General features: G+C 41.9%; 3 annotated features.

Moving 5' to 3' along the window:
• Positions 14,092 to 14,782: an enhancer, noted in NCBI's record as "NANOG hESC enhancer chr5:33482334-33483024 (GRCh37/hg19 assembly coordinates)". NCBI's record gives its function as "activates a minimal SCP1, AML or CMV promoter by ChIP-STARR-seq in naive and primed H9 embryonic stem cells {active_cell/tissue: H9 hESC(naive and primed)}" and the evidence as "EXISTENCE:reporter gene assay evidence [ECO:0000049][PMID:30033119]".
• Positions 20,249 to 20,750: an enhancer, noted in NCBI's record as "H3K4me1 hESC enhancer chr5:33488491-33488992 (GRCh37/hg19 assembly coordinates)". NCBI's record gives its function as "activates a minimal SCP1, AML or CMV promoter by ChIP-STARR-seq in naive H9 embryonic stem cells {active_cell/tissue: H9 hESC(naive)}" and the evidence as "EXISTENCE:reporter gene assay evidence [ECO:0000049][PMID:30033119]".
• Positions 20,751 to 21,250: an enhancer, noted in NCBI's record as "H3K4me1 hESC enhancer chr5:33488993-33489492 (GRCh37/hg19 assembly coordinates)". NCBI's record gives its function as "activates a minimal SCP1, AML or CMV promoter by ChIP-STARR-seq in naive H9 embryonic stem cells {active_cell/tissue: H9 hESC(naive)}" and the evidence as "EXISTENCE:reporter gene assay evidence [ECO:0000049][PMID:30033119]".

Here is a 25,581-nt window from a genome sequence, read left to right on the forward strand (position 1 = left end):
ACAGATAATGTGGTTCAGTATTTATCTTTACAGTTTTACAGCAAATATAATGCAGGGTGGATGGAGACGGGGTAGGTCTGCAGCATCATAATGCTATTCATAAACTGGGTGTGAGCTGGGTGCTGGCTTCTCAGAGGATAAACACTTTTGGGAGTGTCATTTTTACTTAATGTTGGATGGACACCTTTTCAAACAAAAACTACCATGGATCTATTACAGAGTAGATTTGCACAAATGTTTAAGATAAAACGTGAATCTTCAGAGAAATATCTGTTTATGGCAGACTGTTCTGGACCATAGAATCACTTGGTTTACAAATTCCCTATTTTCTCATAAGGGATCATTTTCAAAATCTTCTACCAATAAATGGTGATTGAAAGGACAGCACAAAGTAAATAATTTCTTATGTGGATAAATACTAATTCCTCCTTGTTAGAATGATATTTTAAAAGTAACATCTTTTTTTTAATTTTTTTTGAGACAAGATCCTTTGTCCCCCAGGCTGGAGTGTGGTGCCATGATCTCGGCTCACTGCAACCTCAGCCTCCCAAGTAGGTGGGACTAAAGACATGTGCCACCATGCCTGGCTGATGTTTGTATTTTCTATAGAGATGGTTTCATCATGTTGCCCAGGCTGGTATCAAACTCCTGGATAAAAGAGACCCACCTGCCTCAGTCTCCCAAAGTGCTGGGATTACAGGTGTGAGCCACCACGCCCAGCCTAAAAAGCAACATCTTGTCAGTGCTATAATCTCAAATAGCTTGTTTGCAAGGTGTGATGGTTAATACTAAGTGTCAACTTGATTGGATTAAAGGATGCCTTTATTGTTTCTGGGTGTGTCTGTGAGGGTGTTGCCAGAGAGATTGACATTTGAGTCAGTGGCCTGGGAGAGGCAGACACACCCTCTGTGTGCGTGGGCACCATCCAGTCGGCTGCCAGTGCAGCTAGAACAAAGCGGGTGGAAGAAAGTGGGATTAAGTTGGCTTGCTGAGTCTTCTGGCTTTCATCTTTCTCCTGTGCTGGATGATTCCTGCCCTTGGACATCAGACTCCAGGTTCTTCAGCTTTTGGACTCTTGGACTTATACCCGTGGTTTGCCAGGGGCCTTCTGGCCTTTGGCCATTGACTGGAGATGGCACTGTCGGCTTCCCTGCTTTTGAGGCTTGGACTCGGACTGAACCACTACTGGCTTCCTTGCTCCTTAGCTTGCAGACAGCCTATCGTGGGACTTCACCGTGTGCTTGTGTGAGTCAATTCTTACTAAATTTCCTTTCATATATACATATATCCTATTCTGTCTCTCTGGAGAACCCTGACTAATACACAAGGGTCACTTCAAAGAGAAGCTAATTTGCATAGATTAATTTTCACTTTAATAAAGGAGCTAAGATCTTTAATCATAGAGGGCTTTTCTTTTGAAACTTTATAATTAAGCCTTGCTTCTGAACAGCTTTAAAATTAACTTTTGTGATAGAGTTGTAATTTTTATGTGTCTGAAAGAAACTTAATTTTATACTTAAACCAGACTCAACATTTAGAGAAGCTTTATAAATCTTTCAAAACTTGGGATAAAAAAGTGTAATAAAGACATAGTTTAGTGGGACTGGAAATCAAAGGTTTCTCTTGATCTAACTAACACCTACTTAGCTTAGTCCTCACTTCTAGTGGAATCATTAGAGGGCCACTGTCTTGATGGGAGGGTTCTTGTGTGGGGTTTTTTTTTTTTTTTTTTTTGAGACAGGGTCTTGCTCTGTCACCAAAGCTGGAGAGCAGTGGCACAGTCAGGGCGCACTGCTGCTTTAAACTCCCGGATTCAAGTGGTCCTCCCACGGCAGCCTCCCGTGTAGCTGGGACTACAGGTGCATGCCACCACACTTGGCTAATTTTTTTTTTGTTTTATTTTTTGTAGAGATGAGGTTCCTACTATGTTGCCCAGGCTGGTCTCAAACTCGTGGGTTCAAGCAGTCTTGCTGCCTCAGCCCCACAAAGTGCTGTGATTACAGGTGAGAGCTACCACACCCAGGACCACTCTCTAAGAGCTACTATAATTGTGGGTTTACGCCATCTAAGTTCTTATCTGTAATTTTGTTTTCCTCCCTTTCCTGGACAGTGGAGACTGATCTGCTTACAGTTCTTCATGCATCAGTTCTGGCATATAACTTGAAGATTTGAAAGAACCCAATTGCTAAGCTTTCTTGAGCATCTAGTCTATTGTGAGTTATATGGTCTTGATAATTAAATAAACAGGAACAATTTGAGAACAATAATACCTGCAACTGCCACGTGACAAAATCTGTAAAGATAGATTTTGCGAAGTAGAGAGGTAAAACTCAAACCAGATGGTGAAAAAAGTGATGACCAGGGCAGGAAATTTGAGAAACAAGATTAAGGCTTGCCAGAAATACAGCAGTGATGTTAAGAAGGTATAAGGGTAAAGGGTGAAGTTACCTCAAATGATGGGCTGAGTTCAGAATCTTGTGTACTTCATGAATCTTGCTTCAGTTCCTCACCTTTACTACAGCGATAGACACCTGCACCTTATCTCAGGCCCCCTGCACTGTGACTACTAGACAAATGCTTCTCAAATTACAATGGCCATATGAATCACCAGGAGATGGCGTTAAAATGCAGGCTGATTCTGTAGGTCTGGGCTGGATTGGAGACACTGTATTAACAAGCTCCCAGTTGATGTTGAGAAACACACTTTGAATAGAAGGCCGTCATTCCCACTCTGACTGTCCTTATTCTGTTCTGCCTAAAAAAAAAATAAAAAATAAAAAATAGGGAAAAAAGGCTTATAAGGAAACCAACTTTTTGTCCTTTTGACCTCCATCTCTCTTCCTCTTGCTGAGGCAACCACTTTCAGACACACCAGTGTATATCTCTTTTCCTATTTCTAAATACTATTGCAATCTCATTATTTTTAATAGCGATGCCCAGGCCACAGTGTGGTGGCTCATAGCTCACTGCAGCGTCAAACTCCTTAGCTCAAGCAGTCCTCCTGCCTCAGCCTCCCAAGTAGCTGGGACTACAGGTATATACCACCATGCCTGGCTAATTTTTTTGACTTTTTATTTATAGAGATGGGATCTCACTGCGTTGCCCAGGCTAGTCTTGAACTCCTGGCCTCAAATGATCTTCCCACTTCAGCCCCCAACATAGTTGAGATTGCAGGAGTGAGCCACTATGCCTGATTGTTGCTGTCTCTTTTTTCATTACTCTTAGAACCCCTCTCTTGACTTCCTGTTTCAGAAAATGAGGAATTTATTTCACAATCTATTTCTTCCCTCCATCCTTATGATGTCATATCTCAATTTTTTGTGAAATCCATATTAGGTGCCTTTGTTATTATGACCATAAATATTATGCTCTAATAAGCCACGTAGTATTGTATTCTATGATTACTTTTTTTTAAAGTACTTTTCTGTATGAGTTATTGGAGTTAATAATCATTCTTTTCTTTTAAAATGTTTTCTTTAGGCCAGGCATGGTGGCTCGTGTCTGTAATCCCAGCACTTTGGGAGACCAAAGTGGGTGGATCACTTGAGGCCAGGAGTTCAAGACCAGCCTGGCCAACGTGGTGATTCCTCGTCTCTACGCAAAATATAAAAATTAGCCAGGCCATGGTGGCGCATGTCTGTAACCCCAGCTACTTGGGAGGCTGAGGCAGGAGAATCGCTTGGACCTAGGAGGCAGAAGTTGCAGTGAGCCGAGATTGTGCCACTTCACTCCAGCCTGGGTGACAGAGTGAGACCCTGTCTCAAAAATAAAAAATAAAAAATGTTTTCTTTGGCTGGGTGTAATGGTTCACTTCTGTAATCCCAGCACCTTGGGAGGCCACGGTGGGCAAATTGCATGAGCTCAGGAGTTCGAGACCAGCCTGGGCAACATGGCAAAACCCCGTCTCTACCAAAAATATAAAAAATTAGCCGGGCATGGTAGCATGCACCTGTAGTCCCAGCTATTCAGGAGACTGAGGTGAGAGGATTGCTTGGAACCAGGAGGTGGAGGTGGCAATGAGCTGAGATCATGCCTCTGTACTCCAGCCTGGGCGCAAGACCCTGTTTGAAAAATAAATAAATAATACAGTAAAATGTTTTCTTTGTGGCTGGGTACAGTGGCTCATGCCTATAATCCCAGAACTTTGGGAGGCTGAAGGAGGAGGATTGCTTGAGGCTAGGAGTTCAAGACCAGCCTTGGCAACACAATGACTTTTTTTCTTAACATTTGGAAGAAATTGCCCCCATTTTCCTCTGCCTTCCTGTGTTTTTATGAGGAAGCCGTTTTTATTTTCATACCTTTGTATGCCACCAGTCATTTTTTTTCTCTGAAAGATTTAGATGTCTTTTCTTGGGCCTAATATTCTAAAATTTCATGACTGTGTCAGTCTTTTGCCTTCCGTCGTGGTGAGCAGTCTTCATTCTGGAGACCTGGATCTTTCAGTTCTAAATACTTTTGTATTTAGTCTTTGGTGGTTTCCTTCCCTACCTTGTTCTCTCCTTAATGGGCCTTCTATTATTTAGGTGTTCTATTTTAAGGGATATTTTCTTAACTTTCTCTTCCCATTTATTCTTCTATTGTGTTTTTAAATTTTTTCACCTGTATTTCTTTTTTAAGTTTTCAGTGTTTCTGTTTATATATCAATGTATCCTGTTTTGGTTACTTGGATTGGATTTATTTCCTTAGAGCATTCATTTTAATCACATTGAAGTTTTATTCAGCATGCTGCATTTTTATTTCTTTTAAGTTTGTTTATTGATATTTTGGTCTCTTTCATATTGTAAGCATGCCTTGAGGGCAAATAGCCTTGCTAGTTGTTGTTACCCCTCCTGCCATTTGCAGGTGCTTAAATTTGACCTTCACTCTGTCTATTGCATCATTTTCTGATACCCCATTCACTTTCCATCTTATAAACCAAAAATAAAATTCTAAGCCCCCCAATCAACTGAATGGACCCCTCCTCTCAGCCAAGGGCCTTCCAAAGTTAACCTAAAAAACGAGTTCAGGCCATAATGGGAAGGCAGTTCAGACATGCCTGATTGTACCCACCTCCCTTTGGAATTCAGGCACAACTGACCTGCATTAACATTAAAACAGAGACCTTAACGACTGACAAAACAGTTTTTCTAGCAATAAGATACCAACATGACAGCAGGCCCTGAAAGAGATTATTTTACCCTAAAAATATATATTTCTTTGACATATTTTCAGATGGCCCTGCAGAACTGTCTGATAAGGGAAAATCTACATTCTACAGAGAATCCCCTTCCCTTTCCAAGTCTTTAATCCCAGAGAGAATTAATTAAGAGTCTGGCACCTTTTTAAATCTTAAAAGAAAATTTTGCCATCTATTCTCTCTGAAGCCTGCTACCTGGAGGCTTTGTCTATTATACATAAGAAGGACCTTGGTCTCCACAACCCCTTATCGTAATCCAGACACTCATTTCTATTGATTCCAGGTTTTTAGATAATAACTCTTTCAACCAATTGCCAATCAGAAAATCTTTAAATCATATATAGCCTGCAAGCCCTCATCTGGCATTGTCCTCTCTTTCCATACTGAACCAATGTACATCTTACATGTATTGATTGATGTCTTATGTCTCCCTAAGATGTATAAAATCAAGCTGTAGCCTGACTACCTTGGGTACATGTTCTTAAGATCTCTGGGGGCTGTGTTTTGGGCCAGGGTCACTCATATTTGGCTCAGAATAAGTCTCTTCAAATATTTTACAGAGTTTGACTCTTTTTGTTGGCAATCTTCAGAGATTGTGGTTTGGGGTTACAAATGTCTCCTGGCATGTCAGACTGCTTATTGCTCCACTAACTTCTTCTTGCACTCAGATTTAGTTGAGGAAGACAGTGTGCCCTAGGAGCACCCGTGAGATAGATTTGGCCAGTGAGATAGGAGTGGAAGTCCCTGGGTAGTGTTTCTTGGAAAGCTTACTAAATGGAATAAATTTTTGCCCTTTATTTGCCCTTCTTTGCCTTTCTTCCTCTTTTTGCTTAGAAGGCAATCCGGCAGCCATCTTGCAACTACAAGGTGACCATGAAAATGAAAACCACAGGTTAGTGGAGAACAGGATGATAGAAAGAGTTTGGATTATTGATAATGTGGTGGATGCACTGAATCTACCTGGACTGCCTAATTCTGCATTTTTGTATGACAGAAATAAAAGCCAACTTCACTGAATTACTGTGGTCAGATTTCTGGTCCAAAGATGGACAACTTCTTCTGTCTTTGTTTCAAGATTAATTTTGAGCAAACAGGGTTGAAACTCCTCTGCCACAGCTGGGCCTGGTGGCTCCCGCCTGTAGTCCCAGCTTCTCAGGCCACTGAGGTGGGGGGATTGGTTGAGCCTAGGAGTTCCAGGGTATAGTGAGCTATGATTGCACCTCTGCACTCCAGCCTGGGCAACAGAGATCCTGTCTCTAAAAAAAATTGGAAATTAAAATTTTAAAAAGTTGTATTAGTCCATTCTCATGCTGCTATGAATAAACATCGGAGACTGAGTAATTTATAAAGCAAAGAGGTTTAATTGACTCACAGTTCCGCAGGGCTGGGGAAGCCTCAAGACACTTAAGAATCATGGTGGAAGGGGAAGCAAACACGTCCTTCTTCACATGGCAGCAGGAAGAAGAAAAATGAGCAAAAGATGGAAAAGCCTCTTATAAAACCATTAGATCTTGTGAAAACTCACTCACTATCATGAGAACAGCATAAAGGTAACCACCCCCATGATTCAATTACCTCCCACAGGGTTCCTCCCATGATGTGGGGATTATAGGAGCTACAATTCAAGATGAAATTTGGGTGGGGACACAGCCAAACCATATCAAAAGTCCTCTGCCATGTCTGGTCTTTTAATTCCTTTGTTCCCCAACCTTCCACCCCTGATTGTCTCCTGCCCTGTCCCCCTTTTGTTTCTCTTCCTCAATAAGCCTTAATTTCCATGGCCAATCACTTATAAACCTCTTTTTCCAGTAATCCCAATTTCCATGCATCCATGTCCTGCTTGATTCATTGAACAAATGCTGAATGTTTCTCCAAATTCTACAGTTAAGAGACTGAGCACTGTTAGAGAAAACAGTCTAGAATTTTAAGAACTGGAGCTACTTCCAATTTGTTATCTCCAGCTTCAGCTGCACCATAATTTATCTCTATATGTAGTTTCCTTATCTAGTCCCTCAAGTCCCTCAGTAACTGTCACTACGTTCTTCAGATACCTACGTCTCCCCAAGATTGAATTTCCCTAAGAGCCTATAGAAAGCACATAACTTTATATTTTCAAATGTCACTTCACTTTTCGTCTACTCCCTGCACTATCAGCTGACTGTTTGCTTTCCTCCTACTTCATTAAATCTAGAAACTTGTATTAGTGTTTCCCTCCTTCCCTCCAGTAAATGAGGTCTTCTCCCTCCTTTTAAGTCCAACCATTCTACTGGACCTCTCGATCCTCTGATATAGAACCAAGGTAATGAGCTTTGGAGCCAGTTGAGTTGCTATTCTGTCTCTTCTTAGTTGGATAACCCACCATTTAATTTCTCTGAACCTCTTTACTTACCCATAAAATGTGAATAAAACCTTGATATGGTTTTGCTCTGTGTCCCTACCCAAATCTCAGGTGGAATTGTAATTCCTAGTGTTGGAGGAAGGGCCAGGTGGGAGGCGATTGGATCATGCGGGTGGATTTCTCCCTTGCTGTTCTTGTTATAGTGAGTTAGTTCTCACGAGAGATGGTTGTTTGAAAGTGTAGAGTACTTCCTCTTTGTTCTCTCTTCCTCCTGCCACCACGTAAGATGTGCCTTGCTTCCCCTTTGCCTTCCACCATGATTGTAAGTTTCCTGAGGCCTCCCCAGCCATGCGTAACTGTGAGTCAATCAAACCTCTTTTCTATATAAATTAACCAGTCTTGAGCAGTTCTTTATAGCAATGTGAGAATGGACAAATACATACCTCTTTCATTGAATCAGTAATAGCAATCAGTGGGCCTTATATAAAGTATACAAAAAGTAATGCTATTATTTTCATCTGCTCCCATACCTGATTCAACAGTTATCCCCTATATATCATCAACTTCTTCCCTAATTGCTTTCTACCTATAAACCTAAAAGTACCAACATCTTTTCTATTCCAGTGTATTCTGTGTCCCTGATATTCTGACTTCAGCTCTCACCACACAATTCAAATGGTGCTTGCCAAAGACCAAAGATACTCTGTGTTGCATTTGGCAACTCTCTCTGCCTTCACGTCTTTGCCAATGCTGCCTATGAAAGCTGGCATCTCCATCATGATCCAGCCGCATCTCTCTGCTGACTGGACTCGCCCAGTACCTTCTTCTTCCCAGTGAAAATAATGCTCCTTGTGCACTAGTTTTAAGGGAAGTTGGTGGAAGGCTTCCATCTTGAAGAGAAGATGAATAATGGGGGAAATTCCCCAAATGTAGTTTAGGGGATCCCTTTTAGGTCTTAGTGGGCTTTTTAGCTGGGTCTAGAAATCAAATTAATACCAGGCAGATTAACAAGAGAAAAGCACGTAAATTTTATTAGCTTTACATGTATGTGGAAACCACCTTTGCAAAAATTATGACAGCGAGAGAAGTCTAGCAAAGTTGACTCTGTTTTGTTTCTAGGCTCACAGGCTGACTGTTCTAACTCATTCCCGGGTGTAGGCCAAGCTAGCCATGGGAGGAATTTAGTTTATAGCTTAACTTTGAGGCAAGGATGATAATAGTCCCTCCCTAAAACTAACTCCCTACTTGCTTAGGAACCAAAGCCACCTTTGTAAACTAATGAAAGGCCATGAAATTAGGATTATGGGAGGAGCCTGAATTCTGCTAGGATTCTGGTAGGAACAGTTTCTGTAATCCATTACTGCTTGAGAGTCAAGTGGCCAGAGGTCACAAGATTCAAGACTTCCCCAATTGCTCCTATAGATAACATCACTATTGTAGAACCTAAGATTGATCTTTTGAGATTTTTTTCAGACTTTCGCATTCTGGTAGCCAACTGACCCCAGCCGGACCTGGGACTCATGACTCAGCCAGTCCTGTGGCCCTCACCCAAAGGCTGACTCCACACAGGAGAATCATTTTCCACACCCCTATGATTTCATTTCCAGCCAATCAGTGGCACTGGTTCCCTAGCCCGCTGCCCACCAAATTAGCCCTAAAAACCCTATCCTCTGAGTTCTCAAGGAGACTGATTTGAGTAATATTAATAACTCTAGTCATTCTTGGCTAGCTCTGCAATGATAAAACTCTTTCTCTACAGCAATATTATGGTCTTCGTGAATTGGTTTTGTCTGTGCAGTGGGCAGGAAGAACCTGTCAGGCAATTATAGATGGAGATTTTCACAAGAGAGTGAAGTCTGAAGAAGTGGTCAAAGAAAAATGCTTTTATACTTTTTAGACGAAGAATGATAAATTTGAGAAGCAATGACAGAACAAAGGGGGTCTGGCTAGGAGCAGCAAATTTCTTTTTTTTTTTTTTTTCTTGAGACAGAGTCTCGCTCTGTCACCCAGGCTGGTGTGCAGTGACACGACCTCGGCTCACTGCAACCTCCGCCTCCTGGGTTCAAGTGATTCTCCTGCCTCAGCCTCCCGAGTAGCTGTGATTACAGGCACGCACCACCATGCCCTGCTAATTTTGTATTTTCAGTAGGGACGGGGTTTCACCATGTTGATCAGACTGGTCTTGAACTCCTGACCTTGTGATCCACCCACCTCAGCCTCCCAGAGTGCTGGGATTACAGGCATGAGCCACTGCGCCTGGCCTGGAGCAGCAAATTTCCAGGGAAGTCACTACAAAATATGTGAGTGTGGGTGTGTGTGAAACTAGTGGAAGATAAGGATTATTTCTATAAGTATATTTATTCAGGTCTATTGCAGTGCCCAGTTCCCAGTCTGGTGATAAGAGCTATTTTCTCACCCTGGTATAAGAAGTGTACCCCTTCATGGCTTGCTGCCTGCAGGAAGACACAGTCAGCTAGCTCTCTCTGAAACTACAATTTCTTTAATGTTTTCAACTTGAAATAATCAATATACCAATTTTGCATATTTTGGGATGGTACGTTCTTTACCTTTACAGTAGGAACAGAGCTCAAAAACTATTGAGTAACCAAAAAGCATGACCAACATCTATTCCCCTTACATTATCCCATACGCAGAAATCCAGGAGACTGAAATTTAATATATTAATGCATTTGATTTACATGCGTGTACTCAGACATCACAGAACCAGAGTACCACCCTAAGCTAATTTACTATTAAGCTTCTTGTAATAAATAATTACTTTCAAAAAAATTCAACTCTGGGAAGTTACAATTGTTACTGTGTTCATGGCTCTGGAAATGGGTATGTGATATTAAATTAGTCACTGAGTATTAATTCAATGTGCAGCTAACTGGGAAGTTTGCTTGAATAAGTTGTCTTGAGGGTTTTTTTTTTTTTTTTTTTTTTTGGTGGGGGAAGAGAGAGTGATTGGGCAGAGGTCAGACTCTTCTTCATAAGTGTTTGTTTTTCAAAGATTAGCCTTTATAACACCATTTCTAAATCACCTGGAATTCTCATTAAAATCCTAGGCTGATCTCTGACCTAAAAAAATCAATGGAGGAGAGGGAGTCTAGAATATATATGTTTTAACAAGCTTCTTAAGTAATTTCTTCCACTCTTTGAAGTTAGAGAGCTACTGTTTTATGTGAGAAATGCAGATACCTTGATGGAATATTAATTTAAAATTTTAAAGTTAATTATTTAATATATAAGGTGGTGTTCACATTGGTATATTTAATCTGTTGATTTGGAATAAAGTCTGCTACATACATTCTAGTCCACAAATTCTAAAGGGAACACATTTTACTTTTGTTAGCACATTTGAATTTCATATGCCTAACGTTTCCTAGCACTTATCAGTGCTCATTTCTCTAAGCTGGTGGCTACAATCAGGGCACAGCTTCTTACCTAAGCCACTAAAAAATTATCTTTGCTAGAACTGGAAATAGGGCTTATTTTCCCTCCTCCTGGGCTTTAGCCTCTAATTGTCACTTATTTCTTGAAATTTAAAAGTCATTCTCTTTCCAAGAAAATACTCCACAACTTTTCCTATTAGGTAATGTTTTGAAACCAGTGTTTCTCAAACTTCAGTGTGCGTCGGAAAAATCTAGGCTTGTGGAGTCTGCAGGTTTTCTGATTCAGTCATCATGGGCTGGGATAGGTGACCTGCACTTTGGGCATTTGCCCCAGTGGATTGCTGGTGCAAGGACCGCGCTTCAAACTCCACTTGGGCAGTCCTAGCTCCTCATGTTGTGGTTATTCTGCCATAATCATGATGAAGATAATTCAGTTGCCTAAGAAAGATTGTAACAAATTTGTCTCAGACTCATGAAGAATGCAGACAAGTTGAAGTCATCAAAGTGTTGTATTCAGATGGACAGAAACTCCAGGGCTGTGCAGCTGTGTGGGCTGAGCCTGTAGAGATGCTTCAGTGAGCTGTGGAGGGGGAGATGAATTCTAGGTATGCGCTGGATGATTTAGTAAGACCATAAAAACCCATATATCAACATTTGGGTAAGACTTTTTCTTCCTTCCTTTTTTCCCTCCTTTCCTTTCATCCATCCTTCCTTTTTGTGGTAGGCAATGTTAAAATAAGAACCTTCACCACATTAAATTTAATAGAGTTTAATGGAGTAAAAAGTGACTTATGAATAGGGCAGCCTCCTGAGCCAGAATAGGTTCAGGAAGATTCCAGGGTAGAAGATTTATAGACAGTAAAAGGAAAGTGGCATGCAGAAAACGGAGGGACAGAAACAGCTGGATAGATTACAGCTTGGTGTCTACCTTATCTGAACATGATTTGATCAGTTAGCCCCCTTAGATTGGCCAAAACTTGGTGATTGGCACAAGAGTAGGTTACAGTCTGTTTGCACTTCCATTTAGGTTGTAGTTCATTGTAGTTCACTATGTACAGCGAAACGTTTAGGCTGAACTTAAAATAAGGAAGAAGGCAACTTTAGGCTAAACAGCAGAATAGTTGCCCAGGCGCCGTGGCTGATTTAACAGCAGAATGGTGGGCCAGACACGGTGGCTCACACCGGTAATTCTAGCACTTTGGGAGGCCCAGGAGTTTGAGACCAGCCTGGGCAACATGGTGAAACCCCATCTCTACCTGCAAACCAAAAATAAAATTAGCTGAGCATGGTGAGAATACTCAAGAGGCTGAGGTGGGAGGATTGCTTGAACCTGGGAGGCAGAGGTGGCAATGAACCGAGATCGCGCCACTGCACTCCAGCCTGGGGGACAGAGTCAGATAGTTGCAAAAAAACACAAAAACCAAACAAAACACCAGCAGAATAATGAGTCCCTAAAAATGTTCAGATCCTAATTCCTGGAATTCATGAATATATTACTTTACATGGAAATAGGAACTTTGCAGATGTGATTAAGCTAAAAATCTTGAAATGGGGACATTATCTTGGATTACCTGTGGAAGAGGAAGGCACAAAAGGACATAAGAGTGATGTGACGTGAGAAGGACTGGACCCATTATTGCTGGCTTTGAAAATGGAAGAAAGAGTCACAAGCTAAGGAATGCAAATCGCCTCTAGAAGCCAGAAAAGGCAAGAAAATGGACTCTCTTAGAGCCTCCAGGAAGAAACCAGCCCTGACACCCACCCCTCCTTTTCCTCCCCTCCCCTTCATCCCCTCTCCATCCCCTCCCCTTCATCTCCTCTCCATCCCCTCCCCTTCATCCCCTCTCCATCCCCTCCCCTTCATCTCCTCCCCTTCCCTCCCCTTCATCCCATCCCCTTCATCCCCTCCCCCCATCCCCTCCCCTCCATCCTCACCCCCCCTCTTCCCCTCCCCTTCATCCCTCTTCTCCTTCATCCCCTCCATCCCCTCCCCTCCCCTTCATTCCCTCTCCATCCCCTCCCCTTCATCCTCTCCCCTCCATCTCCTCCCCTCCCCTCCCCTTCATTCCTCTTCCTCTTCATCTCCTTCCGTTTCATCCCCTCCAGCTCCTCCCCTCCCCTTCATTCCCCCTCCCCTTCATTCCCCCTCCCCTCATCCCCTCCCCTCCATCCCCTCCTTCATTCCCCTTCCCCTTCATCCCCTCGCCTCCATCCCCTCCCCTTCATTCTCCTTCCTCTTCATTACCCCTCCTCTTCATTCCCTCCCTTCCATCCCCTCCCCTTCATCCCCTCCTTTTCATCCCCTCCCCTGCCTCCCCTCTCCTCCCCTCCCCTTCATCCCCTTCCCTTCTCTTCCTTTCTTTCTGAATAACACGAGGTGAGATTGAGCAAAATAGGCATTTTACTCTCAAATAAGTTTAGGAAAAAAATAAGGTTTTTTCTACTATTCTTGGAACTTTTCTATAAGTTTGAAGTTATTTCCAAAAAGTCTATTATAATATTCACATGTTTCCTTAAAACTTCTTTTGGGATTTAAGAAATTATTTTTTCAAATTGAAGAATAATTAACATGCTGAGAATTTAGGCCTTTTGAACATATATATAGTTCAATGAGGTGTTTTTTTTGTTGTTGTTTTGTTTTGTTTTTTGGTTTTTGGTGTTTTTTTTTTTTTTGACATTCTAATAGGTGTGTAGTGATATCTTTATTTATTTATTTTTTTTGAGACAGAGTCTCACTCTGTTGCCCAGGCTGGAGTACAGTGACATGGTGAGATCTTGCCTCACTGCAACCTCCGCCTCCCGGGTTCAAGTGATTCTCATGCCTCAGCCTCCAGAGTAGCTGAGATTACAGGCACCCACCACCACACCCAGCTAATTTTTGTGTTTTTAGTAGAGACGGGGTTTCACCGTGTTGACCAGGCTGGTCTCAAACTCCTGACCTCAGGTGATCTGCCCTCCTTGGCCTCCCAAAGTGCTGGGATTACAGGCGTGAGCCACCACCCCCGGCCTAGTTCAATGAGTTTTGATGAACATATGCAGTCATGTAACCACTACAAACAACGCAGGGAAACTTTACAAAAGCCTCTTACTTTTAAAACTGTTAAGGAATTCATTGGGTTTTTCGAAATGTTTTCATTTATTTTATAGGTATAAACATTAAAGCTGTTATTACATTTCTCTTTCAAATATACAGGTATATATAACATGTAATACTAAAATTTGTTTAACTTATAAAAAAGGTTAAAAACCTTACAATAAAACAAGGAAACAAAAAGACATAACACAAGATCTGTCCTCCACAGAAGAAAATGCTCGCATTTCCTCTCCTTTCTCCATTAATGCTGCATTAGTGCGGTGTAGGCAGAGACGTGCTTCCGCCAGGAAAAACCTCATTAGTCTCTGGAAGAATCACTGCCCGCCTGTCTCATTGTCTCCCCAGCCATTGCAAGCACAGTCCTTAAGGTGTTATGCTCCCTGGGGAATCTGAATCCACTTACATGCTCCCCTGTGGGCTGCGGCACTTAACTTCCCTTGTCCTCAAGTTTGGTTAATGGGCTGGGAAGCGTTGACTGACACTGCTCCAAGGCCAGCAGACATGAGGCACTGCAAGTTCTGCTCTCAAAGGGGCTTGGAGGGAAGGAGTTGGAAAAAAGGAATCATGAAGCATGAGATTCACAGGTTCCTTAATTCATTCTCTAGTTTTCTCCCAATGTGCTTGTAGTGACAGAAAAACTCAACTCGTCTCACAACTCAGAGGTACAATGAAAAGGAGTTTTTTCCTCTGTGATTGGAACTTTCTCTTGAGCCCTTTCCCTTAGGGGATACTAGGAGACAATTACATCTCTAATTCAACCTAAGTTTATTCCCTTTTAGTGGGGTTCAATTTCTGTTAGCCAAAAGTGCTCAGTCCCTCAAACAGCTTATCTTTTGTTGTTTCTCTAAGATTGTGTAGAATTTGGAAAGGGTATAGCTTATTTGACCTTATGGCTTTGTGCGGAAGCCGGGGTCCCCAGTAGATCTCCTGGCTTCTGGATAATGTTTCTTTGCTGCTGGGTTGCTAGGTGCCTCATTGGCCTCCACTGCCAACTTCTGGGTGGTTATTACTTAGGGTTGTGACTATTGCTTGGGCAATGCACCTGCAGGTGCTTTCTGGGCAATTCCATTTCATCCGGCTCTTGATGGCAACATCAGCACCTTGGGGACACTCTGCGATATGTGTTTTGCTTCTGTTTTTTGTCCCGGATTTTCTGCAGGGTCCCCTGTCTCAATAAGGAAAACTCCTTCTATCAGTTTATCCAGGGTAGGCAGGCAGGTACTTCTAGGTCCGACGCAGTGTGCCTCAGTGGACCAGGATCATGGACACAGGACATGGGTAAGTTCCTGAACTCCTCTCTGCCTAAGGTTCTTCATCTATCAAATGAAAGTAGTAATAGTGAGTATTCACTGAACACTTCCTATTTGGCTGCACTTTTTAATGTGTTTCATATTATGATGTGCCAGGCAGAGCTCTGTAATAAGTCAGTGCTTCTCAAACTCTCTGTGGTAAATGATTACCTTTTTTCTTGAATTTCCAATTTGCCACAGATCAATATTTCTGCAAAGTACTTTAAAAGTTACTTCCTATGAGCTTTTACAGTGACAAATGAAAATTTTAAAAAAAACCTTAAAATTGAAATCACTGTACAAATTAGTTATTGGTTATAAATTACTACAAACACTTCAATAAATATTTAACAAATAAAAAAATAAAAAACTTAATTCCTAGAAAATGACATAAAAAAAAGAAAAACAACTACAAAACTTGTATTTGTTGTCCATTGAAAGTGGATGTGGATATAAAGTGTTTAACATAGAAAATTATACTAATAACTTCTACATATTATTTAACAATCATAACTTCTCAAAAAGTTGTGAGTGAAATAATGATTCCCCGCTTTAAGGGCCTTTATGTATATTTTGTTTTTTTGTTTTTGTTTTTTTGTTTTGAGACAGAGTCTCACTCTGTCGCCCAGGCTGGAGTACAGTGGCACAATCTCAGCTCACTGCAACCTCCGCCTCCTAGGTTCAAGCAATTCTCCTGCCTCAGCCTCCTGAGTAGCTGGGACTACAGGCATGTGCCAGCATGTCCAGCTAATTTTTTGTATTTTTAGTAGAGACAGGGTTTCACCATGTTGGCCAGCCTGGTCTCGAACTCCTGACCTCAAGTAATCCTCCCACCTCGGCTTCTCAAAATGCTGGAATTACAGGTGTGAGCCACGATGCCTAGCCCTTTATGTACACTTTGAATAAATGCTGTATATATCAACATTTAAAGATTTTAATACACCCAATGAACTTTTTTCTTGATTTATAAATTTATCGATCCAGTGAAGATTGGATTAGTTCATTTGTAAATGTTCTGTACTTTTATACCTATCTAGTTGCAGGCTAGTAGCAAGCAATTTTTGGACTGTGTAGGTTCAAAGAATATCCTTTGAATAGCACTATTTTACATGCTTTAGATGTATTAACTAATTTAACCCTCACAATAACTCTACAAGGACAGTATTATTATTATACTAGTGAAGTAACTAATAAGTGTTAAAATTTTGCACTCAGGTTTTGGGACTCCAAGGCCCCTGTTCATAGCATGTTGTAGAGGGAAAGAGGGAAAGAGGTAAGATCAGGTAGATTTCTTTCGTCTCCTAGAGACCCAGGGTGGAATGAACAAATGAACAGGAAGCTGTGAAAACTAGTCTGGGGCAAAAGAGATGAAGTAGATTAGGGCATGGGATAGAATTGAGGTGGGCTGTAGTGGTTTATGTCATTCAGGACTAATGGAAGTTACCAGCAAATTCAAAGAATCAGAAGTGGGGTCCCAGGCCTAGCTCAGGGGTTGAGAGGAGGCCTGAATTTACAAAGGTCGTTGTTGCTTAGAATTGATTATAGTCTTCAAATAGAACATAAGGAAAAGAATATATGAAAGAGTGCCATTTGTTCTGTAAAGACATTCTAACCAAATGGCTAGTATGGACAATTACTTGCAGCTAGCAGAACAAAGAAAGTAATTGATCAAATGCAATTGAAAGAGATCCTTGACCTAGCTCTCCAGCCTCCTGCATATGTCATTTAGAAGGGCGACTTGACTCTTAATAAGTCTTTATTTCTAGAAAGTTTTTTCTTTTAAGTAACATGTTTAATGGGAAGATAATAAAATATTTTCAATGCTATTTTATTCTCATGACTTAAATAAAAACTTCAGGACTTGGGAAATATCCCCCTTATGATAAAGCAGACAAAGAGGTAAATGTATGGATTTCCTGAATTGTCTCATCAAAAGCAGTGTGGGTTAAAAACAGGAGGTGTGGCTGGGCCCAGTGGCTCACTCCTGTAATTGCCAGCACTTTGGGAGGCCAAGGTGGGTGGATCACTTGAGGCCAGGAGTTCGAGACCAGCCTGGCCAACATGGCAAAACTCTGTCTCTACTAAAAATGCAAAAAAAAAATTAGCTGGGCGTGGTGGCGCGTGCCTGTAATCCCAGCTACTCAGGTGGCTGAGACATGAGAATTGTTTGAACCCAGGAGATGGAGGTTGCAGTGAGGCCAAGATCATGCCGCTGCACTCCAGCCTGAGGACAGAACGAGACTCTGTCTCAAAAAAAAAAAAAAAAAAAAAAAAAAAAAAACCAACAACAACAAAACAGGAGGTGTTATTGAAGCTTTTCCTGCCAAAGGCAGAGAGGTAAAAGAAAACCAAGATGAGCGTGAAGGGCTGTGTGTGTCTGCGGGGGTGTGTGTGTGTGTGCTCTCCGATTTCCTTCTAGTAAAACTCTCCTAATCTAACTTGGCTCCATAGTGAGGCAGACATTACTGAGAGCAGTAAGTAATGTGACTATCTCAATTCACGGTAGACTCTCAACTTACTTATATGTAGACTTTGAAGAGGATGAGGTTTGGGAGTTGGGTTACAGGTGTCCATTTAAAATACTGAACCTACAATTTCTCCACCTCTGTTCCCTGCAGAGGCATTTCTGCAGGACATAGTATCAGGCCTGGTCCTGAAGTTCTATTAGAACTCTGCTCTGTCATCCAGGCTGGAGTGCAGTGGCACAATCTTGGTGCATGGCAGCCTTGAACTCCTTGAACTGCCTCAGCCTCCTGAGTAGCTGGGATAACAGGCATGAGAGCCACTGAACCCAGCAATACTTTATTTAATATTATTTTTATATTTATTTTTGTACTCTGCGATTCTAATAAATGAATAACACTTTATTTTAAAATAGGCTTTGCGTTAGGTTATTTTGCCTGACCATAGGCTAATATAAGTGTTTAGGGGAGGCTAGGGTAAGCTATGATGTTGAAAGGGCTGTGCATTAAATGCATTTTTGATTTCGGGTGGGTTTATTGGGACTCATTCCTATCATATGGTGAGAAGTGTCTGTATTTTCCCTATCAATTTCTATGTGCTGTGTGTGTGTGTGTGTGTGTGTGTGTGTGTGTGTGTGTGTCTTAGCCATTGGAGATTAAGTTGTAGACATTGTGAAACTTCATGCTTAAATACTTCAACATGTATCATTCTAAAAGAAGGACCTTTGTGTATTTGACCATATACCAGTTAAGAAAGACCGAGGCAGTGGAAATGGTCTGCTCTTGGTGCAGGCAATAATTAGGTACATTTTCCATAAAGAATTTTAAAACCATAATAAAACCCAACCATACACTGGCAATTCTGAAAATGTTAGTGATAAAATACCTCTCCCTAAAAAAGATTTTGTTGTTGTTTAGGCTGTAAAAAATTGCTGCTTACTCTTGAATGACACGTAAGCTTTGTTGGGGCTCAGAAAGCAATACCTGAAAGACTGGCACTCTGACATGCTAAGAAGCCTTAGGAGCTGCCTTATAATCAAAGCCTTTCTAAACTTGCCTTGTCCCCCTCTCAAGTGGAGATTCTCTCTGGAATTTCCTTATCTGACTAAGAAAGCTTCTTTCCAAATGACATGCAGTTGTCTTAAGACCCCTCCCTAAAAATCTCATCAAATAACCAGGCAAGATCAACCACCCAGAGAAGAGAAGAGACTAGGAGTCCTCATTACTCCCAGACAGACTTTTCATCTATTCTTCTTAGAGAAGTCCTAGAGATTGCCTGGGGAACCTTATCTGGATAATAAGACAATCTTTGTTTCTGTGCAGTTCCACCCTTCACATTCCCAAACAGTCATTTACTAACCGTTTTCTGAGCACTGGGCCTATTAATTCCCCAATTTTCCTCTTCACTGTGTCACACAGACTTCCTATCACACTGTTTAGGATGGAATGTCAAATACACTCTTTTAATTGGAAAGAAAATGTAAACAAGCTGTAAAGAAAAGAAAACAGGCTGTACAGAAAACACATTGTAACTCATTAAATTGGTATAGTTCATAAGCCAGCCTTATTTAGAGAATGTTATAATCCCACTAAATTTCTTTGTGTTCTGCCTATATAAGCAAGATCGTAACTTGAGAGCATTGACCCCATTTCTCTGGAGTCTGTGTTTCCTGGATGGTAACTTCCAGCGTTTTACTCAAATAAACTCATTAAAACTGAATTCTGATCCTTTTGGTTATTTCAGGTCGATGGAAATAAGAATGTTTTCTTACTCTGACTTCCTCAAGAATCTTTATGTTTTGAGAAAAATAAAAAAAGTGATTTGGGCTTGGTGTGGTGGTTCATGCCTGTAATCCCAACACTGGGAAGCCAAGGCAGGTGAATTGCTTCAGCTCAGGAGTTTGAGACCAGCCTGGGCAACATGGCAAATCCCCATTTCTACCAAAAATACAAAAATTGGCTGGGTGTGGTGGCACATGTCTGTGGTATCACCTACTCAGGAGGCTGAGGTGGGAGGACTGCTTGAGCCTGGGAGGCAGAGGTTGTAGTGAGCCCAGATCAGGACATTGCACTTCAGTCTGGGCGACAGAGCCAGACCCTGTATTAAAAAAAAAAAAAAAAAGATTCGTTTTTTTTTTTTGTATGCAGTAACTCTGGAAAACCTATCAAGTCTTTGTCTAACATTTCTTCCACTTTATCTGCCCACTTTTATGGTTAATAGATGGGGTCTCACTATATTGCTCAGGCTGGCCTCAAACTCTTGCACTCAAGAGTCTCCCACCTCAGCCTCCTGAGTAGCTGGAATTACAGGTGCAAGCCACCATGCCTAGCTTCGATTTATCCATTAATTTCTCCCTGCTTGGGAAGTGCAGGAGGGAAGACTGTAGATAAAAGCCTATAATCTGGGTGAGTTTTAATCTTTACTTGGGTAAATTATTTGCCCTCCTTGTGCCTCAGGAACTTCGTTTGTAAATTGGGAAAAATAAGATTCTCTTCCTGGGATCATTTATTGAATACTTAGTACATCCCAGGTCTGTTTTAAGCACTTTGTGCGTATGAAGTTTTCGAGCTCTCACAACAATCCTGAGGCCAGAACTATTATTAATCCCCTTTTACTAGAGGAAAATATCATTAAATAACCTGCCCACGTTTGTCTTGTTAGCACTCCCTTGATCACTGTACTTACACAAGTAGATATGGTGAAAGAATTAAATAAGATCGATGCAGGAATTTTTGGTGCTGCTTCGCCAGCCAGGGACCTCCACAGCCAGCGACACCCTTGCCTGGGCCTTGCTGGGCTCTGGGCTTGCTGCTGGAGGTACCCCGCCTACTCGACTCAGTGGGCTGTGCTTGGCTTGTGCTCCAGCCCGGATCCCGCACTCACCATGGGTTCCGTTCTCAGCCTGCAGCTGGACGGGTCATGCCGCAACCTGCTTCTGCTTTGGGTGCCGGCGTCTGGATGAGGGGAATGTGGTGGTGGCCAAAAATCTTGGAGATGCCAGCAACCCTGAAGCCCCAAAGTGGGTGTTACAGCATGCTGCAGTTTTGGCTCAGGGAGCCCCAAAGTCTAGGCCCCCAGAAGGGTTGTAGCTCTTCTTTCCTTCCTGCTGCTCACAGCACGGTGAATGGGGAGCAAGGCAGTATTTCAGCCTATTTGTGCTATAGCTCTTTCAGTCCTGCTGCCCCACTCTGGCTTGCGGCACTGGGGCTGGCCTGGCCCTGCCACTGCTTCCCGTTGCATGGGGCTGCTGGACACCAGCGGAGGGTGGAGAGTTACAGTGTTACAGTAGCTCCTTTGTCACTGCTGTTTGGCAGGTCTCGAGTTTTTGTCCTGCATCCAAGAAGAATGAGGTTACGCAGACAACCAGAGGATGAGAAGGGAGGAGAAGAGTTTTACTGAGCCATGGAACAAGCTCTCAGTGGAGAGCTGACTCAAGGCGGGTGGTCCCCCACCAGGAGGCAGGTAGTTTGCCAGTGTGGCTCAGAATGGGAGAGTGCATGCTGATTGGGTTGTGAGTATGCAAAAAAGGATTTAAAAAAAGGCACCACTCAAAGATGGGCAAGACCATGCAAAAAAACAATTAGGGAAGAGTAGGTATATGTAAAATAGGTGAAGGGTGGGGATCAATCAGAGGAAAGTGCCCCAAATGGGAAGAGAGGTTCTCAATCCAGTCCATGGGTTTATCTCTGACCTATAGCTTGGTTTTCAGACTTTAAACCGTCTTCAGCTTGAAGGTCGGGTTTCACCAGGGTCCCACCCCCATCTGCCTCGGCATTTGACTGCCTCCTGCCGCTATCAAGATCACCATTGAAAACTCTTAGATTGTCTGGGTGTGGTGGCCACACCTGTAATCCCAGCACTTGGGAAGCCAAGGCGGGTCACTTGAGTCTAGGAGTTTGAGAGCAGCCTGGGTAACATGGTGAGGCCCCCATCTCTAAACTAAAAGGTAATTAAAAATAAATAAATAAATAAATAAATAAATAAATAAATAAAACTCTAAGGTAAGTGCTGACAATGTTGAATTTTACCTGGGCCCTGTGATCCTGGAAAATAGCCATGGTTAAAGATATCCCCCCACTCTCTGTGTTCCCAATATCACTTTATTGCCAAGAAATACACTTTTCCATATGACTTAGATAAGATGCACAGATGCGTCTCCTTTTTACCTTTGTTAGGGCCAAGGGAAAACTGACCAAAGTCAGATTAAGAAAAAAGGCATACAAATTTATTAACGTGTACAGAGATGAGGGGGAGAGAATCACAGAGTGATTACCCCAACTCCCCAGTGGGGTGCAGAAGCTTACATACCCTTATTTCAGAGGGGAGGGGGAACTGAGGATTATGGGTAATTCTGGGAGAAGGAATAAAGGATTACCAGGGAGAGTGAATGGATGAGGAAACAGAGATTAACTTGTAAATGTTTCTGTTTGGGAATTCAGTGAGCCTGAAAGAAGATACTATCTTGTGAAAGGGTTCATTCAGGGTGGTTACATTCATAAGGTCTTAATTGATGCTTTTTTTTTCTCTCTCTTTCTCTCTCTCTCTCTTTTTTTTTCCTTTTTACTCTGCATCTTCATGATTTTTTCCCCCTAGTGGATAATGAGGTAACAGGGAGAGAAAAGAAAAATAATTGTGCTCCTTAGCAGATCTGTGGGGTCTTTATGTACATAGGGGAAAAGACTTTTCTAGCTCTCTGTTGATCTTTAAGGGCCTTTAATTTAAAATATTCATCATACCCAGGAGAAATATTTTCAGGGGAGATATTTGGTTTCTTTCACCTTTGACAAGGCCAGACAAAGATCCTCTAAATTCCTATTCTCTGCCTCGTAAATGACTAGCTGAACTGCTTGTGACCATGGAATCTAAATCTGAACAAAGTTCTTGTTAATCAAACTTTGGTTAAGATTATCTCCTTCTCCTAGATCCCAGAATTTGACCCATCCTTAGCCTGAGCTAGCATACAACTCCTTCTTAACAGCACCTTCTGAAAATAGGCTGGCTCCAGGGTCAAGCAATCTCTGATCTACTATCAGATTAGCCACCTCACTCTTTCATTCCTCTGTCCCACCCCAGATTCTTTCTAGCCAAGGGTCTGACTCTGTCACTCAGACTGGAGTTCAGTGGTACAATCATACCTTACTGCAGCCTTGACCTCCCAGGCTCAAGCAATCCTTCCCAACTCAGCCCCCCAATCAGCTCAGTTAGCTGGGACTACAGCACGCGCCATCACACCCAGCTAATTATTATTATTTTTTTTGTATAGATAGGATCTCACTATATTGCCCAGGTTGGTCTTGAACTCCTCAAGCAATCTTCCTATCTTGGCCTCCCAAAGTGCTGGGATTACAGGCATGAGCCACCATGCCTGACCTACCATTTTGCCTAACTCTTGAATTTGCAGATCTTGTCGAAGACTTCTCCCTGTTGCAGTAGTCTCCCTCCTCCTATTGCAAAATCCCTTCTTTCCTCTCAGCTCTACTTCTTGAAGTAATCTTTAAAAATAAAATTTCTCCTTATCTAAGTGCAGATTTAGTTTTTATTTGACAATGCCTGGCTAGTATCAGTAGATATTATTGTTAGTATTTCCTTACATCCCCTTTCTTCGTCCTGGCTAAAACTTGTTCAGTATAGACAGGAAGCGATGGGAGAATTCATCTTGCCTTCTATGCAATCACCCAATGGGTTCTTCTGCTCTCTGCATAGACAAAAAACGATACACTGAGACTGTGGTATTGAAGTAGAGAAAGAGCTTAATTAATGCAGAGCTAGCCAAGCAGAAGTACTAGAATTATTACTCAAATTAGTCTCCCTGAGAACTAGAGATTTTATGGATAATTTGGTGATCAAGGGTCTAGGAAATGGGTGCTGCTGATTGGTTGGAGATAAAATCATAAGGGTATGGAAAACAGTTCTTGCACATTGAGTCCACCTCTAGGCAGGGGCCACAATTCTGGTTGAGTCATGAGTCCTGGGTCCAGGTAGAGTCAATCAGCTGACAGAATGCAAAAGTCTGAAAAACATCTCAAAAGACCAATCTTAAGTTCTACAATAGTGATATTATCTATAGGAGCAACTGGGGAATTCACAAATCTTGTGACCTCTGACCACATGACTCTTGAACTGTAAGGGATTATAGGAACTATGCTTACATTTTAGCAGAATTCAGGCCCCTTCCATTGTCCTAATCTTGTGACCTTTCATTTGTTTTACAAAGGCAGCTTTGGTCCTTGAGCAAGGAGGGAGGTTAGTTTAAGGGAGGGACTATAATTATCCTTGCTTCAAAGTTAAACTATAAACTGAATTCTTCCCATGGTTAGCTTGGCCTATGCCCAGAAATGAGTGAGATCAGCCAGCATGTGAAGCTGGAAGCAAGATGGAGTTTGCCATGCTAGATTTCTCTTACTGTCATAACCTTTACAAAGGTGGTTTCACTTGTACCTAATGAGTGTACATTAATTAGTCTTGGTCCCAAAAAGAAAGAGATGGCATAATTAGACCCTGCATGATTTGAGGGGGATTTATTTACAAGAAGGACTAGTTAAAAAGGTATGGCTGGTGCAAGAGAACCACAAGTGATAGTAGCAACAGAATTTTCACCATCTCTAGGTTTAAGGGGACAGAAGAAGAAAGATACTACCAGTATATGGAAGGATAGAGTCATATTGAACAGGCCAGTTGGAGAGCAGCATTGACCTTCAAACAATGAAATAACCCATCCAACCTGGACCAGTGGAGCAACTGTTGTGAAAGCTGACTAAAGCCATCTTTATCAGGTTAACAAGAATTCTGTACAGAAATATAGTTATGATTAAGCATCAATTGGGCTGCACTTTGGCCCATTTCTTTGTAACCAAAAGTCACATAGCATTAGATACTGACCATTTGCATTCCCATTGTTCCTATAGATAGGATTTCTGATGTTAGAATCATAAAACTTTTGTGTAAGGATTATTTAAGATGTTTTTCAAATCCTGAATTACAGCAAAACAGCTGACACCAACCAGAGAAATGAAATCAGCGTGAGAATACAGTTTCTCCACCTCTCTGTCCTGTGACTCTATACTGCACTCTTCAACCAGTCGGTGATCTCCATATTTTGTCCCACTCTAAAACCTTTAAAAACCGTAACCCCAAGCCAGGCACAGTGGCTCATACCTGTAATCCCAGCACTTTGGGGGGCTGAGGTGGGTGGATCATTTGGGATCAGGAGTTCGAGACAAGCCTGGCAAACACGGTGAAACCCTGTCTCTACTAAAAATACAAAAAAATTAGCTTGGCATGGTGGCACATGACTGTAATTCCAGTTACTTGGGAGGCTGAGGCAGGAGAATTGCTTGAACCCAAGAGACAGAGGTTGCAGTGAGCCAAGGTCATGACATTGCACTAGAGGCTGGGTGACAGAATGAGACTCTGTCTCAAACACAAAAAACAAAAAACCCTAGCCCCAAACTCCACAGGGAGATGGATTTGAGATTTCCTCCTGTCTCCTGGTTCACCAGCCTTGTGATTCAATCTCTTTCTCTGCTGCATCTCAGTGTCTGGCTATTGACCTGCCATGTGCATTGAAAAAATGGACGTATTATGGTTATATGATTATATGAATTGAGTTACTCTTGTAGTACCAAACTAAAACAGGGTAGGGAAGCTTGTGGGGAAAGCACTCAAGACACACAATATTACTCCAAGAATGTAATTCTCTGCAAGTCCAGCTGCTGAAACTACCTGTTGTAACCTGAAACAAGTTTTATCTATAGTTGCTGAGATAACTTATGCAACTCTAGGACTAATTTTGCACATCGATGTTGCTCACAAATCAGAGTTTGCCA

This window comes from Homo sapiens, chromosome 5 (genome assembly GCF_000001405.40).
Source record: "Homo sapiens chromosome 5, GRCh38.p14 Primary Assembly".
NCBI lineage: Eukaryota > Metazoa > Chordata > Mammalia > Primates > Hominidae > Homo > Homo sapiens.